The sequence below is a fragment of the Homo sapiens genome, chromosome 2, assembly GCF_000001405.40.
Source record: "Homo sapiens chromosome 2, GRCh38.p14 Primary Assembly".
Taxonomy (NCBI): domain Eukaryota; kingdom Metazoa; phylum Chordata; class Mammalia; order Primates; family Hominidae; genus Homo; species Homo sapiens.
The window spans coordinates 25,843,151-25,864,621 of NC_000002.12; the positions used below are offsets into that span (position 1 = coordinate 25,843,151).

Here is a 21,471-nt window from a genome sequence, read left to right on the forward strand (position 1 = left end):
CATTAGCCAGGCATGGTGGCAGGTGCCTGTAGTCCCAGCTACTCGGGAGGCTAAGGCAGGAGAATGGGGTGAACCTGGGAGGCGGAGATTGCAGTGAGCCAAGATGGAACCGCTGCACTCCAGCCTGGGCGACACAGAGAGACTTCGTCTCAAAAAAAAAAAAAAAAAAATAGAGACGGGGTTTTACCATGTTGCCCAGGCTGGTCTCAAACTCCCGACCTCAGGTGATCGGCCTGCCTCGGCCTCCCAAAGTGCTGGGATTACAGGCGTGAGCCATTGCACCTGGCCTTCAAATGCATTTTAATGTTTTAATTTTAAAATGTTTACACTCAATTTTTCAGGGATGTGTTATATAAAGTAAGGTAAACTAATATATTTTACTTTTTCATACCAATGAAGCAAACCTAACTTATTTCAACCTACTGAAGTTTGACTATAAATCAAAAAAGAATTTAAACTGCTTTAGAAAGGGAGAGCAAATAAAAAAACTCAACTAGAATTTCACGTCAGAGAAAAGAAAATGAGTGCCCATAGTCCCAGCTTCAGGAGGCAGAGATGAGAGAATCACTTAAGGCCAGGAGTTGAAGGCTGCAGTACACCATGATCATGGCTGTGAACAGCCACTGCACTCAAGGCTGGGCAACATAATGAGACTCCATCTCTTAAAAAAAAAAAAAAAAAAGAAAGAAAGAAAGAAAGAAAAAATGAGAAATAAAATCTAGAACATGCAATGGCTATTCATCAAGAAATACACTGTCTATTTACAAATATTTGGGCATAGCTTACTGTTTCTCAATGGGAACACTATTGGCACCTGAGATGAAAAACTATTCAATGTGAAGCAACGTCCAACACAATGCAAATTTAGCATTCCTGTTACCTGCCCACTAAATGCCATTGTGTTCCCCTACCCCAATCACTGTGATACTCAAAAACAGCCCCCCAAAATTCTAAACTCTTTCTCCAAGAGTGTTACACAATGCCACCTATAGTTGAAAACCAGTAGTTTGAAAGCACTGCAAACTTTTCCTATCTTAATGAAAATCTAACATAGACTCCCAAATTTCTGTCTTAATATACAGAGCATACTTAATATAATTTTAACATTTCTTGATGATAGAGAGTCTTGATTAAGAACACTGACTATTGGCCAGGCATGGTGACTCATGCCTGTAATTCTAGCACTTTGGGAGGACAAAGCAGGCAGATTGCCTGAGCTCAGGAGTCTGAGAACAGCCTGGGCAAAATGGTGAAACCCTGTCTCTACTAAAAGTACAAAAATTAGGCATGGTGGTGCGTGTCTGTAATCCCAGCTACTCAGGAGGCTGAGGCAGGAGAAATGCTTGAACCCGGGAGGCAGAGTTGCAGTGAGCCAAGATCGTGCCACTGCACTCCAGCCTGGGTGACAAAGTCAGACTCCGTCTCAAAAAAAAAAACAAACAAAAAAAACAAAACAAAAAAAAACACACACACACATTGACTATTAAGTATTACTGTAATTTTTTTTTTTTTTACAAGACAGCTTCTTGCTCTGTCACCAAGGCTGGGGTACAATAGCACCTTCTTAGCACTCTGCAGCCTCGAACTCCTGGACTCAAGCAATCCTCCAACTCAGCCTCTGAAATACTATAGGAGCACACCACCACATCTAGTTAATACAATTTTTCGTAGAGATGAGGTTTCACTATGTTGGCCAGGCTGGTCTCAAACTCCTGGCCTTGAGCAATCCTCCCACCTCAGCCTCCCAAACAGCTGCGATCACAAGCATGAGCCACCATGCCTGGCCTGCTATTGTAATATAATAAGGTTCTTAGAAATTAAAGTCTGTGTTATCTTTGATCCTGTACTAATGGCCCAAGTCTATTATATTTGAACATGTTAAGACTATTATTTGACATATATACTGCTTTACAGTTCTTTTTCATTTTATCCTTTTTAGCCAGCATTATTTCTTCTGGGACTATCTGTCTACCTCTAGGACTCTCCCTGTATGAGAGTAATTTTTATCACTAATGACCAAGTTTATTAAATCAAAAAGCCTAAAGAGACAGATGAAGGCTTGAAGATGGCTCCAGGTCTTCCTAAAAATTAAAGTGCATGGGCTTAAAGATAGCTACCCTCTAAGAATTGGTTTTAAAACCTTCTGGTTTAAAACTTTCTGGTTTTAAAACTATGTAATGACTTAAAAAATGCCAAAGATCTGACATCTGATCAGAACAAAGCATTTATTATTAAGTAATTAATCTTCAGGACTAAAGTATACTATTATATACTACCAAATACTCTGATCAAGTATTATAATTATTACTAAAAATATTTAAATAACTCACCTGATTTCTTTTAGTCCTTCTCTCTGGATAACTTGAAGAATTTCTTTATGACTCATGGGTGTATTGGGGTATTTTTCTAAGACCTGAAAAACAAGTATATAATAATAAATTATTTCTTATTTCAAGTTATTATAATTCTATATATATTTCTTATAATTACGTCTTAAAAGCTAAAATTAATAACCCAATTATTCACTACTAATACATATGCAATTGTTTACTTTCTCCCTCCATCCCCACATCCCTTCACTACCTGTGACCTACTGCAAGCACATTAAGATTATCCATTTCCTGGTAAATGTATAGCAAAGCCTACTAAATCATAGGTGCACAATAAATTCTTAACCAAAACAAGTAAACAATATGATTATAATAAAATTAAAGTAATATCTGTGTTCTGGTTCTGGTAAAGACATAGTAGGCAAAGTCCATTCTGTCTCTCCCACTGAATGCAACTAAAAACCTGGACAGAATGCATGAAGCAGCTATTTGAGGACTCCGAAAATGGTAGCAGGTGGCCTGGCCTGGGGAGGAAAGCACAACTAGCAGTACCACACTAGTCCAGCAGTGAGTTTCCTGATTTTGTTTCCCTCTGGTAGCTCCCCTGAGCCTGGACTTAAAGGCAGCCCAAAACCCGGAACTGCAGACTAAGTGCAGGCAGAAAGTGCTCCAAGAGAAAAATATTTTTTGGTCTGAGGCACAGTAAAGAGGGCATTTCTAAAGGTTGGATAGAGGGAGAGAAAATTATCTGGGTTTTTCCCCCCTTTCCTTTTTCTCCGCCCTTGCCCCAGGCAATCGCATGGGAGCAGCTGTGGTAATACCAGCAGTGGCTAACCTTGCAAGGGGTCCTACAAGCATGGGAGGAATTCCCATGATTCATCTTGGCCAGGCACAGTGGTTCATGCCTGTAATCTCGGCACTTTGGAAGGCCGAGGCGGACAGATGACTCTTGAGGTCAGGAGTTCAAGACCAGCCTGGCCAATATGGTGAAACCCCATCTCTACTGAAAATACAAAAATTAGTCAGGCGTGGTGGTGAGTGCCTGTAATCCCAGCTACTCAGGAGGCTGAGGCAGGAGAATCACTTGAACCTGGGAGACAGAGGTTGCAGTGAGCTGGGATCATGCCACTGCACTCCATCCTGGGCAACAGAGCGAGACTCCATCTCAAAAAAAGAAAAAAAAAAATTAGCAGGGCATGGTGGTGCTCGCCTATAATTTTAGCTACTCGGGAGGCCGAGATGTGAGAATAGCTTGAACCTGGCAGGCAGAGGTTGCAGTAAGCCGAGATTGTGCCCCTGCACTACAGCCTGGGCAACAGAGCCTGTCTCAAAAATAGAAATAATGTCTAATATACAATTCAAACTTACTCAACACAGGAAGAGTAAGGAAATCAGCAACTCACAAGACAAAAGACAAGCTATATACAACAATAAACCCAATGTGACACAGATGTTGGAATTATCAGACAAAAGTAGCTATTATAACTATGCTTCAAGATGTCTGGTGAATATTCTTGAAACAAATAGCTAAGAGTCTCAACAGATATATACGTATATTTCATGTATGTTTTATTTTGTTGTTTACACTTACATTTATATATGAAACAAAAATACAATAACCAGTAATATTTCCAAACATAATACAGCAAGATAAGTGGCGCCAAAATTCAAATCCAAGTCTTGCACCACTATAGCATGCTGTGTCCAGTGTTTGTAACTACTTTCTCATTTGGTCAGTCATAAAACCCAACACATATTTCTGTGTATCATCTTCCTTGATCTCTCTGCTACATCTAACATTATTAAACTGTTCCCTTCGCAGACATCACCTCCTAGACTCTTCTTTTTCCCCAAAATATTTTTCTCAGTTTTCTTTGTAGATGTCTTTTTCTATGCCCATCCCTCAAATATTTTATAAACATCCATTTACCCCTTTTACTTTTCACTCCACCAAAATTTCCCTTAATAACATTAACCACACCAAGCTTTCACCACTCACGTTTTGATGAAGCGGCAGTCTGTTAAAAAACTATTAAAAACTTGTAAAACTTGGATATCCCACATGCATTTCAAACTTTAGATGTCCAAAGTTAAACTTACTGCCTTCATCCAAGTTAAGGCCCATACAGAAAACTTCTATTTATTTATTGTTTATATACTAAAAATGTATTAAAGTACTGAAAATAAACAAAAATACACCATGGACCTGGATAAATAGTTCACAAAAGGGTTAATATAACTGGATCACAACCATATGAAAAAGCATTTGCACACTGAAGTACTTACGGATGAAATCATATGATGTCTGGGACTTCAAAAAATATACAAGAAGTTGCAGGTTTAAATATAGCAAGATTGGCCATAAATTGATAATTATAGAAGGTAAATGATAAACAAAGATATTCACTATACTATTGTCCACTTTTGTGTACATATTCAATATCCTATAAAAATTTATGAAGCAAATGAAATACAATTATTTGACTTTACTAGCAATCAAATGTAATACATTTTAATGTGGGTTTTTTCCTGCCAATTTAAATGGCAAAAACATGGCAATAATAAACACCATGAAATGGCTATGTATGCACACATACATCTGTCCAAGGAGCCAGAAAACTGAAATTAATAAATATTTCTAGAGTGTCATTTCTCTGGCATATCAAATCTTAACTGAAAGGGGACTATTAAATCATTATCAGAATGAGCCACACTCAGAACTGAAAATATTTATATTATCCATGTTAATGGTAAAAATTAATACTTTCTAATATATTCTGCAAAACAAGGAATTAAGTTATTTTAATATTTTAATGGGTTTTAAACATCATAAGATGTTAAGCTATTAGAAGTGGAGACCGGCTGGGCGCGGTGGCTCACACCTGTAATCCCAGCACTTTGGGAGGCCGAGATAGGTGGATCACAAGGTCAGGAGATCGAGACCATCCTGGCTAACATGGTAAAACCCTGTCTCTACTAAAAATACAAAAAAAGTAGCTGGGCGTGGTGGCGGACGCCTGTAGTCCCTGCTACTTGGGAGGCTGAGGCAGGGAAATGGCGTGAACCCTGGAGACGGAGCTTGCAGTGAGCCGAGATTGGGCCACTGCACTCCAGCCTGGGTGACAAGAGGAAGACTCCATCTCAAAAATAAACAAACAAATAAATAAATAAATAGAAGTGGAGACCAAAAATTATGTCTTTTTAGTAAGGATTTCACTGATTTCCAAGATGTTCTGTACTTTAATCAAACACAGTAAACCAGTTGGTTAAAACTACTTAAGGAGGCCGGGCACCGTGACTCAGGCCTGTAATCCCAGTACTTTGGGAGGCCAAGGCATGCAGATCACCAGAAGTCAAGAGTTCAAGACCAGCCTGGCCAATGTGGTGAAACACCGTCTCTACTAAAAATACAAAAATTAACTGGGCATGGTGGCAGGTGCCTGTAGTCCCGGCTACTACGGAGGCTGAGGCAGGAAAACCGCTTGGACCAGGAGGCGGAGGTTGCAGTGAGCTGAGATCACACCATTGCGCTCCAACCTGGATGACAAGAGCGAAACTCCGTCTCAAAAAAAAAAAAAATTTACATATATATATATGGAATATTTATTTTCTTTTAAAAAAATGTTTATCACAGTTTCCTTTAAATGCTAGGCATTTAGAATTAGTTTTTTTTTAGGCCAGGAACAGTGGCTCACACCTGTAATCCCAGCACTTTGGGAGGCCAAGGAAGGCAGATCACTTGAGGCCAGAAGTTCAAGACCAGCCTGGCCAACATGGAGATTCCCTGCCTCTGGTAAAAACACACACAAAAAGTTAGCTGGGGGTGGTGGTGGCTGGGCGCCTGTAATCCCAGTTACTCAGGAGGCTGGTTCAAGAATTCAAGAATCACTTGAACCCAGGAGGCAGAGGCTACAGTGAGACGAGACAGCGCCACGGTACTCTAGCCTGGATGAAAGAGTGAGACTCTGACTCAAAAAAAAAAAAAAAAAAAAAGTTTTTTGTTGTCTTTTTTGAGACAGGGTCTCACTGTATTGCCCAGGCTGGAGTGCGGTGGTGCAATCACAGCTCACTGCAACCTCCGCCTCCCAGGCTCAAGCTATCCTCCTGTCTCAGTCTCCTGAGTAGCTAGGACTATAGGCATATGCCACCACACCTGGCTAATTTTTGTATTTTTTTGTAGAGACAGGGTTTTGCCATGTTGCCCAGGCCGGTCTCGAACTGCTGGGTTTTTGTACTTTTTGTAGAGATGGGGTTTTGCCATGTTGTCCAGGCTGGTCTCAAATTCCTGGGCTCAACATTCCACCTGCCTCAGCCTCCCAAAGTGCCAGGATTACAGATGTGAGCTACCATGCCTGGCCTAAAATTAGTTTTAATTTAGAAAAGTATTATACTAAATTTTTTCAGACTACTTAAAGCTATAGTTTTGGGGAGAAAGAAAAATGTTTTTCAATTAAAGACTTAAATATTACACTTTTAAAACTTTTTATTATGGAAATCTAAAAAAAATTCACCAAATGAGAGAGAACATTACAATGAACCACCACATACCCATCACCCATTTTCAACAATTATCAACACATGGCCTATCTTGTTTCCTCCATACCTTCAGACACCCTCCGTCCACAAACTGGGTTATTCTGAAGCAAGCCTCAGACATTTCATTCATTATTATTGTAGTATATATCTCTGAAAACAAGGACTTAAATTTTTTTTTTTACACCTCAGAAAATGACTATAATTCCTTAATATCAAATTATTTAGTCAATGTCCCAAATTTACAGGGAAAAACCACTTTTTTTAAACAGTTGGTTTGTTCAAATCAATAGACCCACATATACTGCATTTGGCTAACACATGTCTTGAAGTATCTTTTAATCTATGGGTTTCTCTCACTTTTTCTTCCAATTTACTTAGAGAAAAAACTAGTAAACTGTATTGTAGTTACACACATTCTGTATTTTGCTAATCGTATGGTCCTCTGTCCCTTGCATTTCCTGAAAATTAGAATCGAAATCTAGAGGCTTGCTCAGATTCAGATTTTATTTTAGCAAGAAAACTTCATAGGCTTATGGTATACTTCCTACCACACCACATCAGAACACACAAAACATCTATGATCTCTTTTTTGAGATGCTAAGATATATCAGTGGGATAGATGTGGTCTATCTGATCCACTTATTATAAAGTTTCCCATCAGCATTTCAATCTAATTGTTTTAGCAGCCACCGATGATCACTATCTCCATCATTTTATTTAGGGGCTGGAAAGTGCTGATAGTCTATCGTTCCTTTTTCATTTATAAGCCAGAGTCCTTCTAAAAATAGATGCTTTCCACTATCTATTTGGTTACCCGAGGTACAATTCATATTAAAAAAGCAGGATAAGGCTGCATGCGGTGGCTCACGCCTGTAATCCCAGCAGGCCAAGGCAGGTGGACCACCTGAGGTCAGGAGTTTGAGACCAGCCTGGCCAACATGGTGAAACCTCATCTCTACTAAAACTACAAAAATTAGCCAGGTGTGGGGGCGCATGCCTGTAATCCCAGCTACTCCGAAGGCTGAGGCAGGAGGCAGGAGAATCACTTGAACCTGGGAGGCGAAAGTTGCAATGAGCCAACATTGTGCCACTGCACTCCAGCCTGGGCAACAAGAGCAAAACTCCTTCTCCAAAAAAAAAAAAAAAGAAAGAAAGAAAAGGGCAGGATAAGTAACTTATTTTTGTATTTACTGTTTTCAGAATAATTAGCTGGTTTTCTGGCATGCTCCAAAGGTGATTTGATTTCTGTTTCAAATACCACTATTAATATGAGTATCATTTTATAAAGCAGCATTATGGATTTAAATATACTTTTGTGCTTTAATTACTGTATTTCCTCACTTGTGAATTGGCTATTCATTGGCTATTGTCCACTTATATACCATTTGTGAGAGCTCTCTAATTTACATTAAATATATTGAAACATTTACTGTCACATTTACTACAAACCCTTTCTTCCAGTTTATTCTTCATCTTTTTATCACTATTGATTTTCCATTAAAGTTTTTATTAATTTTATGTATTGTAACTGACTGGTCTTTTCTATTTCTTTAAGCATGTTTACACTTAAATGTAGCTTCCCTCCCTTTGATAGCTTAATACTTTTTCTGTATTCGTTTACATTTAACTCTTATAATTCACATAAGAAAAAGTGCATGGGCCGGGCTCAGTCATGACCAGCCTGGCCAACATGACCAAACCCTGGTTCTACTAAAGATACAAAAATTAGCTGGGTATGGTGGCACACGCCTGTTATCCCAGCTACTCGGGAGGCTGAGGCACGAGAACCGCTTGAGCCTGGGAGGTGGGGGTTGCCATGAGCCGAGATCGTGCCACTGGACTCCAGCCTCGGTGACACAATGAGACTCTGCCTCCCCCACCAAAAAAAGAAAGAAAATGTGCATGGATAGAAATGAGAAGAATGTGCAGACACACTAGGAAAAAACCAAGAGGGAGAGAATGAGGGAAAAAAACCCTTTCTTGGCCACATATATTACTGAGCAAACATGCTGTATGAACCATTACATTATCTTCCACAAGCGGAAATGACTACAGTAGTTTTGCAAAACTGTTAGCTTACGTTAACCACAGGAGGGCAGTGTTTATCAAACAAACCTCATTCCACTGAACTGCTCATGGAAACTTTAAAGTACAATTTTTAGAAACTACTTTATGACAATATGAATAACCACTCAGAATAACTAAAATCAACACTACATAGATTTAAAGCTAGATTTTTAAAGGGTGCTTAATATATTTACTTCTTAGCTTGTAGATTCCCAATTCAGTTAATAAAAAGGATTTAAAAATTATATTTTCTAACACTCGAGAATAACTGAGTTGCCTCTAAGATTCAAGTTTGATTCTAGCCTAAATAACGGGAATATTTCAATTACTATTACATTATGAGTTCATTCCAGATATACAGATGTGCAGAGTCTGAATTTTGTATAATCTATATGACTGCTACATTTTAAATGTCCAAATAAGTAACACAGTGATCTATATATAAAGTTCTATCAGTGTTAAAAGGCTCATTTACTGCCCAAAAGCTTTAATTAGGGTAACTTGTGCCATACCAGTAAATCAGATCAGCCAATATAGAGTGAGAAGAGATGAGGGCTTCTGCTATAGAACAATATATCAACGTTTAAGAGCCAGAGAAGAAAAACTAGGAAATAAACTAAATGACCAGAGAGATGAGAAGAAAACCAGAAAACACTGCTGTTTCAGAAAAGACAAAAGTATTCTAAGGTTTAGGTGGTCAACAATGTCAAATGCTGCCTAGAAGCTGAGATAACAACAGAAATGTATCCCCTGTATTTGTCAACAAAGGGATGTTTAATTAGCTTTGTAAATTCGGATTCCACTTAATGCGGAGGGAAGAAATCAGATGTGAGGGGATTTAGCACTGACTGGGAGTCTAAAGGTAGTAATAGGGGATTAAAACAACTCTTTCTAGGACAATAAAGGAAACAGAACATGTGGAATTGAGGAATAATTGTTTTGTCAAATGAAGTTGCACTGAACCAGCATAAGGGAGACCCAAATATCCCTGCATATCCCATCTTCCCCCTTTCCACCATGAGTGGCAAGTAATTTCACATACGGTTTTTGACAAATCCCTCATTATCTGAGCTTGAGGTACTAGTTCCGATTTGATACTCAAGAACAAAATGAATTCAGAGGATGCGGTTTCCCTCAGCTACCAAACTCACTATACACTCACTCACCTGAGTTCAGGAGCTCAACACATGAGAGTAACAAGGAACACATGGTATTTAGACAGAAATGTGATCTAACAGAGCCTTTGGAGGAAAGAGGGAAAAAGTCCTTACCTGGCTGTTTAGCAGTTATCTACTGATCACTACCTGTGTCCTGAGATGCACTTTTCTGTTCAGCTTCTGTCACACTAGACTCTTGTGGTTCACTCTACTCTACCTCTCTACTAGCAACTTCCTCATTCTCCACAGTCTTTTAATGTTGGTCTTCTTCAGGGTTCTTTTCTCCTCAGTGTCTACTCTCCTTGGACATTTTCATCCTCCCATGGCTTCAAAAATAGCCATGCTCCTATAGCAGCACCGTATACATCCCCAGTACTGCTTATCACAGTGCACCGTTTTTTTGTTTTTGAGACAGGGACTCACTCTGTCGCCCAAGGTGGCATGCAGTTTTATAGCTGGAGTACATGATCATAGCTCACTGCAGCCTCGAACTCCTGGGCTCAAGCAATCCTCCTGCCTCAGCCTCCCAAGTAGCTAGGACTACAAGTGTGAACCACCATGCCCAGCCTTATTCATCTAGTATTACTAGTGCCTATTATATGACAGATCTAAAACACTTAATGGTTGGCTGATGGAATTAGGAACATATGTGGCAAGATTAGCTTCAGACACTAGTAAAAATGCCTCTTTTTAAAAAAGGATAAAAGGTGAGGGAAAATGCAAATAAATTTACAGATTTGGGCGCAGAAACTTGAGTGTAAAAGTAGCTGAGAATACTTAAATACGAAACCTATACAGAGAGGCACCTACAGATATACAGAGAAGATTACAGAAGCTGACATTGTAAGCTCATGGGCATAGTTTACCTAGGGGTCCCTCAATTCTGAACAGCTCTATCAAGTCACTTGGGTTTAGTCTTTCCTAGCTTGGATTCTTTTAATTATCCAAAAAGTCTGGAGGTTATACACACTCCCTAGTTCAAGAAAAAAAGCTCTCAACCAAACTCTCTTCAAACTCTTTAGAGTTAATAACACTAACAGTTAATACTTATCTAGCATTTAACTGCCAAGCACTATTCTAAGTGATTTAGATATATTAGCTTATTTAACCTTTACAATAAACCTATGAGGTAGATACTATCAGCCCATTTTTTTTCAGATGTGAAAACTGAAGTGCAGAGAAATTAAATAACTTGCCTAAGGTTTTGTCAGCTAATTAATGAAAAGAGCCACTGCTGCTGCTGAGTTGTCCAACTTGTCATCAGCAGAATCCAACTCTCAGAACCCTGTTATAATTCCTCAAAAAGAAGAGCCAACCACTTCGGTGGCTCTGAAGGTGACAGCAATTTGTAGCTTAACCTAGTAGGTGCTCCTCAGTGCTTCCACATCTAATGATAAAAGGCAAGTACAGCATATGGCAAAGGCATGATATGGAAAAGAGAAATAGGGGCTTAGACTCCTCAGGAATGATGGCTTCAGGCAAGCAACCTTGATCAGCTGCAGTCTGGCCATGAGTGACGGAAATCTAGACTAGGCAGTGGCAGAAGGAGATGATGAATATTAATACGGCCTTGGAACCAGCTACTGCAGCAGAGACTATGACCTATTCCACTCATCCTCTATAGTAAGCCATTTTAAGAGACTGCTGCCAGTGTCTGTCTTGAGGAGCTGATGTCAAGAACAGGCTTACTGTAGAGCACAAGCCATTAAGAAACACATCCAAATAGAAACTTTCAGTGTCCTGCAACACACATATCCCTCAAGAACCTCCTCAGCTCTGGCAGACAGTGCCGCTCACACACTGCCAGCATGCCACCTTCGCTCATGCTGCTCTGTATATGACATACCTTCCCTACTCCTTTTGACAGATACCTCAAAGTTTATCTATCACTCAACAAAATAGCAAAGATTTTTAAACTGGTAATATTAAATTCTTCAAGAGTTGAATCAGACAGGCACATACACACTAAACAGTGGAGAGGGTAAAATGATACACCTTTATAGATAGTAACTTGGTAACAGGCCAGGCGCAGTGGCTCACATCTGTAATCCCAGCACTTCTTGGGAGGCCGAGGTGGGTGGATTGCTTTGAGCCCAGGAGTTAGAGACCAGCCTGGGAAACATGGTGAAACTCTATCCCTACTAAAAATATAAAAATTAAGCTCATGCCTGTAATCTCAGCACTTTGGAAGGCCAAGGCGGGCAGATTCCCTGAGGTCAGGAGTTTGAGACTAGCCTGGCCAACATGCCAAAACCCCGTCTCTGCTAAAAACACAAAAATGAGCTGGGTGTGGTGGTGCATGCCTGTAATCTCAACTTGGGAAGCTGAGGCAGGAGAATCACTTGAACCCAGGAGGTGGAGGTTGCAGTGAGCTGAGATCATGCCACTGCACTCCAGGCTGGGCGACAGAGTGAGACTCTTGTCTCAAATAAATAAATAAAAATATAAAAATTAGCCGAGCATGCTGGCACACACCTGTGGTCCCAGCTACTCAAGAGGCTGAGTGGACTGCTTGATCCCGGGAGGCAGAGGTTGCAGTGAGCCGAGATCGTGCCACTGCACTCCAGCCTGGGCGACAGAGCGAGACTCCGTCTCAAAAAAAAAAAAAAGAGAGAGAGACAGAAACACAATCTTGATAATGCATTTATTTATTTATTTATTTATTTATTTAGAGACAGAGTCTCGCTCTGTCGGCCAGGCTGCAGTGCAGTGGCGTGATCTCAGCTCACCACAGCCTCCGTCTCCCGGGTTCAAGCAATTCTCTGACCTCAGCCTCCCGAGTAGCTGGGATTACAGGCATGCACCACCATACCTAATTTTTGTTTTTTGTTTTTTGAGACGGAGTCTCACTTTGTCGCCAGGCTGGAGTGCAGCAGTGCAATCTCGGGTCACTGCAACCTCCGCCTCCTGGGTTCAAGCAATTCTCCTGCCTCAGCCTCCCAAGTAGCTGGGACTACAGGCCTGTACCACCATGCCCAGCTAATTTTTGTATTTTTATTAGAGATGGGGTTTCACCATGTCGGCCAGGCTGGTCTCAAACTCCTAACCTCAGGTGATCCGCCCACCTCAGCCTCCCAAAGTGCTGGGATTACAGGCATGAGCCACTGCTCACCTGGCCTATACTTTTTTTTTTTTTTTTTTTTTGACACCAGTGTTTATTTCAGGAAGCAGGTCTGGAAGACCTGGGTCTGTCCAGTGGAGTCCTGGAGTCTCCAGCTTCTCACTTGGCCTTCGGGTTACGGAACTTGTATCCAGCAAAGACAGCCTTGTCCCCAAGAGCCTCCTCAATCCTCAAATGAGTTGGTTGTATTTCGCCAGACGCTCCAAGGGGTAGGGGGCGCCAGTCTTGATCTGTCCTGTGCAGAGCCCCACCACAAGGTCAGCAATGAAAATGTCCTCAGTCTCCCCAGAGTGGTGGCTCACCATCAACCCTCAGCCGTTAGAGTGAGCCAGTTTGCATACCTGGATCGATTCAGTCACCGAGCCGATCTGGTTGACCTTCAGCAGCAGACAGCTGCAGACCTTCTTCTCAAAGGACTGGGCAATCCTCTTGGGGTTGGTGACTGTCAGGTCATCCCCCACAATCTGGATGTCCACCCCTGAGAGGAACGAGGTCCAAGTGGCCCAGTCATTCTGGTCAAAGGGGTCCTCGATGGAGACGAGTCTAGGTGGCAGCTGGGACAGTGTCCTATACCTCATTTTTAATACTACATAGGCTACAAGTTCTAGAATAATGCCAAATAACAGTAATGATAGCAAGTTTCTTCATCACATGTCTAATTTTTTCATATACTTGTCTCTAGCAATTTATCATCATTGTGTTATTGGCTGTTAGATTTTTGGGGGGGGCGGGGGGGGGGAGATGGGCAGCTTTTCTCAATAAAGCAATTCAAAAAACAAGGCTCTTTCCAATATGTGGTAAGCCATGTGGTGAGCCATGTGGTGAGCCATGGAGTTCTTCTGTATCCAACCCCAAAAGAGAACACAGAGAAAAAGCACACCCTATTCTTGAGTACCTTGGCTAGGAAGTGACACGTATTACTTCTGCTCACATTCTACTGCAAAAATAGTCACTTGGCACTATCTAGACACAAGAGAGTCTAGGAAATAAAATCTTTGTCTGGGTAGCTGGGACAAGGATTGTACCTATATGTACCCATCTCTGCATATAGTTTTCATCATTGACCTAGTAATTTAATGAATCAATATTTTTCTAATAACAAAGTAGCTTTGCATTCGTGGAATAAACTTCCAATTAATCATGGAGCTACACTGGCTACCTCATCATTCCTAGACTAAGGCAGGCACTCTCCTGCTTCAGAATCTTTGCACCATCTACTCCACCAATGTAGAACGCTCTTTTCCTGGATGTATGCAAAGCTTCACTGCCTTCATATGTTTGGTCAAATGTCAACTTCTCAGTGAAGCATTCCCTGACTATCCTATTTAAATCACGAACTACTTCAAAACCAGCCCAGCATTCCCCAGTCATCCAGCTTTCACTTTCCCCACAGCACTTACCACTAACATACTATATACTGTAATTTACTTATTTACCATGTTGTCCATCTTTCACCCCTACCTACAAATCTGTTAAATTCCATGCAGGCAGGGATTTTTATTTTACTTTATTTTATTTTATTTATTTTTGAGACAGAGTCTCTCTCTGTCACCCAGGCTGGAGTGCAGTGGCGCGGTCTCAACTCACTGCAATCTCTATCTCCTGGGTTTAAGCAGTTCTGTAGGCAGGGATTTTATTTTTCCTCATTTGTTCACTGCTACATCCACAGATCCTAGAGCAGTGCCTGGCATATAGTAAGTGCTCAATAAATATTTAACTACATTCAATGCTGAATACAATGAATCTCCACATATATGACACTGAGATTTAGTGTTTGCAAATTGATCCTACCCTAAGCGAACCTAAGACAATTACCAAAGAACTGCTCCCTCCATTAGCTTACAGATACAAACAACTGATTCTTTTAAATTGATAATATTTATAATATTTCCCTTGGTCTCTGCCTAAATCCCTTATCCTATATAGCGAAAGCCAGAAAAGGTTTCAGAACAAAATGACAAAATGGCCTCTCCATCACAAACCGGGTATATTAGTTTGGTGCCTTCCTTTACTCCATAGCAGCCATGTCCTCCTCATCTCCATTGTGTCTACATTCCAAAAAAAAAAAAAAATTTTTTTTTGGACAGGCACAATGGCTCACGCCTGTAATCCCAGCACTTTGGGAGGCTGAGGTGGGCGGATCATGAGGTCAAGAGATGGAGACCATTCTGGCCAACATGGTGAAACCCCATCTCTACTAAAAATACAAAAATTAGCCGGGCGTGGTAGTACATACCTGTACTCCCAGCTACTCAGGAGGCTGAGGCAGGAGAATTGCTTGAACCCAGGAGGCGGAGGCTGCAGTGAGCTGAGATCACGCCACTGTACTCCAGCCTGGCGACAGAGCGAGACCCCGCCTCAAAAAAAAAAAATTTAAAGCCTAATATAAAGAGGGAAATTGATAAAGGGAAGAAATGGTGACAAATAAAGTGAACGTAAGTAGAAATCTAATTTTTTTTTTTTTTTTGGAGATGGAGTCTCGCTCTTTATTGCCCAGGCTGGAGTGCAGTGGTGTGATCTCGGCTCACTGGAACCTCCGTCTCCTGGGTTCAAGCAATTCTCCTGTCTCAGCCTCCCGAGTAGCTGGGATTACAGGCGCCTGCCACCACACCCAGCTAATTTTTGTATTTTTAGTAGAGACGGGGTTTCACCATGTTGGCCAGGCTGGTCTCAAAACTCCTTACCTCAGGTGATCTGCCTGCCTTGGCCTCCTGAAGCGCTGGGATTACAGGTGTGAGCCACCACGCCTGGCCTTTTCTTTTTGAGACAGGGTTTTGCTATGTTGCCCAGACTGGCCTTGAATTGCTAGGCTCAAGTTGATTCTCCTAACCTAGCCTCCCAAGTAGCTGGGACTGCAGGCACACACCACCACACCCAGCTAAGAAACCTGAATTTTACATGAAAAACCTCAGACTGAAATATATATTTAATTACTTATATTTTATACTTTTCTAACCATTTAAGGCAATATTATTTAATTATAGCTGAACTTCCAAGCTGTCTTATAACTTTTAAGCAAAAAGTGTTACCCTTAAAATATATCCCTTATGTGGCAAAACTAGTGATTTCATACATTGCTGGTGGCATTACAAATAGGTATATACCTTAAATAAAGCAACGTATCAAAGAAGCAAATTACAAGTAACCATATTTCCAATCTCTCCGAAAGAAATACCTCAAAATATAGGGATGAGTTCCAATTCTTAAAATGGACTAAGCATATTCCACCCTGTCACTCCCACTGAATGTAGCTATACAACCTGGACAAAACGCAGAGAGGAGCTAAAGACTCTGCAAAGTAAACAGACTTTTCTTAAGCTCACATGGAATATTCACCAAGATAGACTACATTCTGAGCCATAAAACACACCTTAACAAATTAAAAGAAACAAATCATACATGTCTGTTCTCAGACTACAGTGGAATTTAACCAGAAATCATTAAGATAGTTGGAAAACCCCTAAATATTTGGAAACTAAACAGCACACTTCTAAATAACACATGGGTCAAATAAGAAATCTCAAAATAAGTTTAAAATATTTTGCCGGGCACAGCGGCTCACCTCTAATCCCAGCACTATGGAAGGCCAAGGTGTGCAGATTGCTTGAGCTCAGGAGTTTGAGACCAGCCTAGGCAACATAGCAAAACATTGTCTCTTAAAAATAAAATAAAATAAATGCTCAGGCATGGTGGCTCACACCTGTAATCCCAGCACTTTGGGAGGCCGAGGCGGCCGGATCACCTGACGTCGGGAGTACTGACCAACATGGAGAAACCCCATCTCTACTAAAAATACAAAATTAACCGGGCATGGTGGCGCATGCCTGTAATCCCAGCTACTCCGGAGGCTAAGGCAGGAGAATCACTTGAACCCGGGAGGCAGAGGTTGCAGTGGGCCGAGGTCGCGCCACTGCACTCCAGCCTGGGCAACAAGAGCGAAACTCCGCCTCAAAAATAAAAAAAAATGGAAACAAAAAAATATATATATAACATCAAAGCTTGTGGGATATAGCAAAAGCAGTGCTTAGAGGGAAATTTAAAGACTGAATGCATGTATTAGAAAAAGAGATCTGGCTGGGTGCGGTGGCTCACGCCTGTAATCCCAGCACTTTGGGAAGCCAAGGCAGGTGGATATGAGGTCAGGAGTTCCGGACCAGCCTGGCCAACATGGTGAAACCCCGTACCTACTAAAAATACAAAAATGCCGGGCGTGGTGGCACATGCCTGTAATGGTAGCTACTCAGGAGGCTGAGGCAAGAGAATTGCTTGAACCCGGATGGCAGAGGTTGCAGTGATCCGAGATCATGCCACTGCACTCCAGCCTGGGCGACAGAGAGAGACTCCATCTCAGAGGAAAAAAAAAAGATCTATGCTGGGTGTGGTGCTCATGCCTGTAATCCCAGCACTTTCGGAGGCCGAGGCTGGTGATCACTTGAGCTCAGGAGTTCAAGACCAGCCTGGGCAACATGGCGAAATCCCATCCCTACAAAAAATACAAAAATTAATTGGGCATGGTGGTGCATGCTTGTAGTCCCAGCTACTTGGGAGGCTGAGGTGGGAGGATTGCTTGAGCCCAGGAGGCAGAGGTTGCAGTGAGCTGAGATCACACCACTGCACTCCAGCCTGGGCGACAGAGAGCTAGACCCTGCCTCCAAAAAAACAAAACACAAAAAGAACTAAAATCAAAACTTAAGCTTCCATTTTTAAAAACTAGAAAAGCAAATTAAATCCAAAGTAACAAATAAGAAAACAAAAATTATAACAGAAAACAATGAAATTGAAAACAAGAAATCAATACGAAAAAACTAACAAAACCAAATGCTGCTTCCTGGAAAGACCAATAAAATCAATAAGCCTCTAGCCAGGCTAAGTAAAAAAGAGAGAAGACACAAACAAATTAGTAGTACCACAAATGAAAGAAGAAATATCACTACAGTTCCCATGAACATTGAAAAAATAAAGAAATCTTGAACAATTCTATGCCCACATACTTAATAACACAGAAGAAAAGGCCAATTCCTTGAAAGACACAATCTGACAAAACTCACACAAGAAAAAACAGATAATCTGAATAGGCCTATCATCTATCAAAGAAACTGAATTAATCATTAATAACCTTTCAAAACAGAAAGCCTCAGGCCCAGATGGGTTTACTAGTGAACTCCACAAAATACTTAAAGAACTATATCAATTCTCTACAATATCTTCCAGAAAACAGAAACAGAAGGAATACAAAATGTCCCCAATTACAGTGATTTGATTTTTCAAGTTTATGTTGCTGCAAAAGCCATACACATTCAGTAGAAACCATACTTGTGATGCTGGGCAGCAACAGCAAAACCAAGCTCCTAGTCAGCCACGTATTTTCAACTTAGGATATCTTCAATTTACAATAAGCCTCTTGGGACATAACCCTATGTAAATCAAGAAGCATCTGTACTTACTAACTCATTCTATCAGGCCAGTTTTAGAAGAAATCAAACTACAGACCCATATCTCTCATGAACATAGATGCAAAAATCCTCAACAAAACCCAACAAATCAAACTTAACAAAGTAAATGATAGCAGGCAGACTGGGGAAGATCAGATTCCAAAGTACTGTACTGTATCAGATGGTAGAATGATGAGGGATTATTTTCCTCTATTTTCCAGCTAATTTAATGTCATATTATTCCTATATTTAAAAAATTCATTTAACTTTTGTGAAACGGAGGAAACTTATGTTACACATTCTCCTAACTAAATTTTAAATATCAGTATTAATAGAGTGAAAAAATAATGCATTAATCCTAACTTAGAACCAAGTTTCACAAACACTAAAGTGAAGTAAATCTATGTATGTCTAGGACATCAATAAGGAGGGCTAACAAAATGTTTGATTGGATATAATTAAGAAAATACCTAAAACTGATACAAAGCCAAACAAAGAAATTTAGAAATTACAGTGTTTTAAGGCACCGAAAAACTAAGGAGCTTCACTTATATTACAATGGCATGTATCAGGATATAAACAATTACAAAAGTATGATGGTACATATGATTCCTGATTCCATTCTCCAACCACTTAATCCATCTTTAATACATTAGACGGCCAAGATCTAAATATCCAGTTCCACAAGAAGGGGAAAAATTAGTCAAAAAATACATTTCAAATTAATTTGACAAGTATTTATTAAATGCCTATTGTGTGCATACTACACAACAGGTGTTAAGGATAAAGAATAATTTGTGGTTTTGTTTGTTTGTTTGTTTTTTGAGACAGAATCCCGCTCTGTCGGCCAGGCTGGAGTGCAGTGGCATGATCTCAGCTCACTGCAACCTCTGCCTCTCAGGTTCAAGTGATTCTCCTGCCTCAGCCTCCCAAGTAGCTGGGATTACAGGTACAAACCACCATGCCCTGCTAATTTTTTTTTTTTTACTTTCAGTAGACATAGGGTTTCACCATGTTGGCTAGGCTGGTCTTGAACTCCTGACCTCAGGTGATCCACCTGCCTCGGCCTCCCAAAGTGCTGGGATTACAGGTGTGAGCCATCACGCCCAGCCAAAACGTAAGATTTTTAGAAGACATTAATTCTTGCCCTCAAAAAAGCTCTTATTTTGGTAGGAAAGACAGATGGACAAATTCATTACAATACAATATTTTTAAATACAACCAAATTTTAAAATGCAAACTAAAGCAGCTCACAGCCGGGCACAGTGGCTCACGCCTTTAATCCCAGCACTCTGGAAGGCCGAAGCACGTGGATCACAAGGTCAGGAGATCGAGACCATCCTAGCTAACACGGTAAAACCCCATCTCTACTAAAAAATACAAAAAATTAGCCGGGCGTGGTGGTACGCCCCTGTAGTCCCATCTACTCAGAAGGCTAAGGCAGGAGAATCGCTTGAACCCAGGAGGCAGAGGTTGTAGTGAGCCAAGATCGCGCCACTGCACTCCAGCCTGGCAACAGAGCGAGACTCCATCTCCAAAAAAAAAAAAAAATTCTCACAGCAGGAAGTAATTAACTTATCCGGACATGAGTTCTCTGGAACTTAAAATAAAAACAGGGGCCAGGCACAGTGGCTCACACCTGTAATCCCAGCACTTTGGGAGGCCGAGGCGGGTAGATCATGAGGTCAGCAGATCAAGACCATCCTGGCTAACACGGCGAAACCCTGTCTCTACTAAAATATACAAAAAATTAGCCAGGCGTGGTGGCAGGCACCTGTAGTCCCAGCTACTCGGGAGGCTAAGGCAGGAGAATGGCCTGAATCCAGAAGGCGGAGCTTGCAAAGAGCCGAGATCGCGCCACTGCACTCCAGCCTCGGGAACAGAGTAAGACTCTGTCTCAAAAACAAAAACAAAACAAAACAAAAAAACAGGTCGGGTGCCGTGGCTCACACCTGTAATCTCAACACTTTGGGAGGCCAAAGCAAGCAGATCACTTGAGGTCGGGAGTTCGAGACCAGCCTGGCCAACATGGTGAAACTCCATCTCTACTAAAAGTACAAAAATTAGCTGGGTATGGTGGCAGGTGACTGTAATCCCAGCTACTCGGAAGGCTGAGGCAGGACAACTGCTTGAACCCGGGAGGTGGGGGCTGCAGTAAGCTGAGATCACGCCACTGCACGCCAGCCTGGGTAACAGAGCGAGACTCCATCTCAAAAAAAAAAAAAATACAATAAAATAAAATAAAAATAGAAGTGAACTCAATTAAGTGAAGAAAGGTGTGGGAATTTCAGAAAAAGTAAGCAACAAAACAGGTATGTCCAGAAGAAATGGCATGTTTCATGAACCACTCGTTAACGGTGGAGCACTGGGCACAAAAGCAGCAACAGTAAAAGAGAACTGAACAGAGGCAAGGGCAAGATCATAAGAAAACACTCTTAATGCCAGGCGATACGCCTTCAATTTACCTTACTGGCAGGTGAGGAGTTAGCAAAAAACTAAGAAAGAAACATTACAACGAGACTCACATTTTAAGATTATTCTAACAAAAACAGGGTGGTCAGATGGATTGGAGAGAGCTTTAATAGACAGGTAATGAAATCCAGTTTCGCAAACTACAGCAACTAAGGCACAGGAATTGGAAATGGAAATGAGAAAAGAGATTTCAAAAATCCATTAAGACTTTTAGTGGCAGGTGACCTTAAAAACACAGATGATGACTCTAGCTTTTTAAATTGTGATAAAAGAAAGGAAAATGAACTATAAAAGGAAGAACATGTTTTGAAAAGTTATATTTAGTTTTGGGCACAGGGTAATCTTTTACTTAATCA

The 21,471-nt window shown here is 40.9% G+C and overlaps 1 protein-coding gene across 1 annotated transcript in view, besides 1 other annotated feature; it reads right to left on the reverse strand.

The window, feature by feature from the left end:
• The window catches only part of ASXL2 (ASXL transcriptional regulator 2), a 144,735-nt gene that overhangs the window by 109,398 nt on the left and 13,866 nt on the right, over positions 1–21,471 (reverse strand). Inside the window, exon 2 of the mRNA NM_018263.6 lies at positions 2,331–2,413. Coding sequence (NP_060733.4) covers positions 2,331–2,413 — 83 coding nt within the window. The remainder of the gene's footprint in view (positions 1–2,330; positions 2,414–21,471) is intronic.
• Positions 17,586–18,086: an enhancer, noted in NCBI's record as "H3K27ac hESC enhancer chr2:26083605-26084105 (GRCh37/hg19 assembly coordinates)". NCBI's record gives its function as "activates a minimal SCP1, AML or CMV promoter by ChIP-STARR-seq in naive H9 embryonic stem cells {active_cell/tissue: H9 hESC(naive)}" and the evidence as "EXISTENCE:reporter gene assay evidence [ECO:0000049][PMID:30033119]".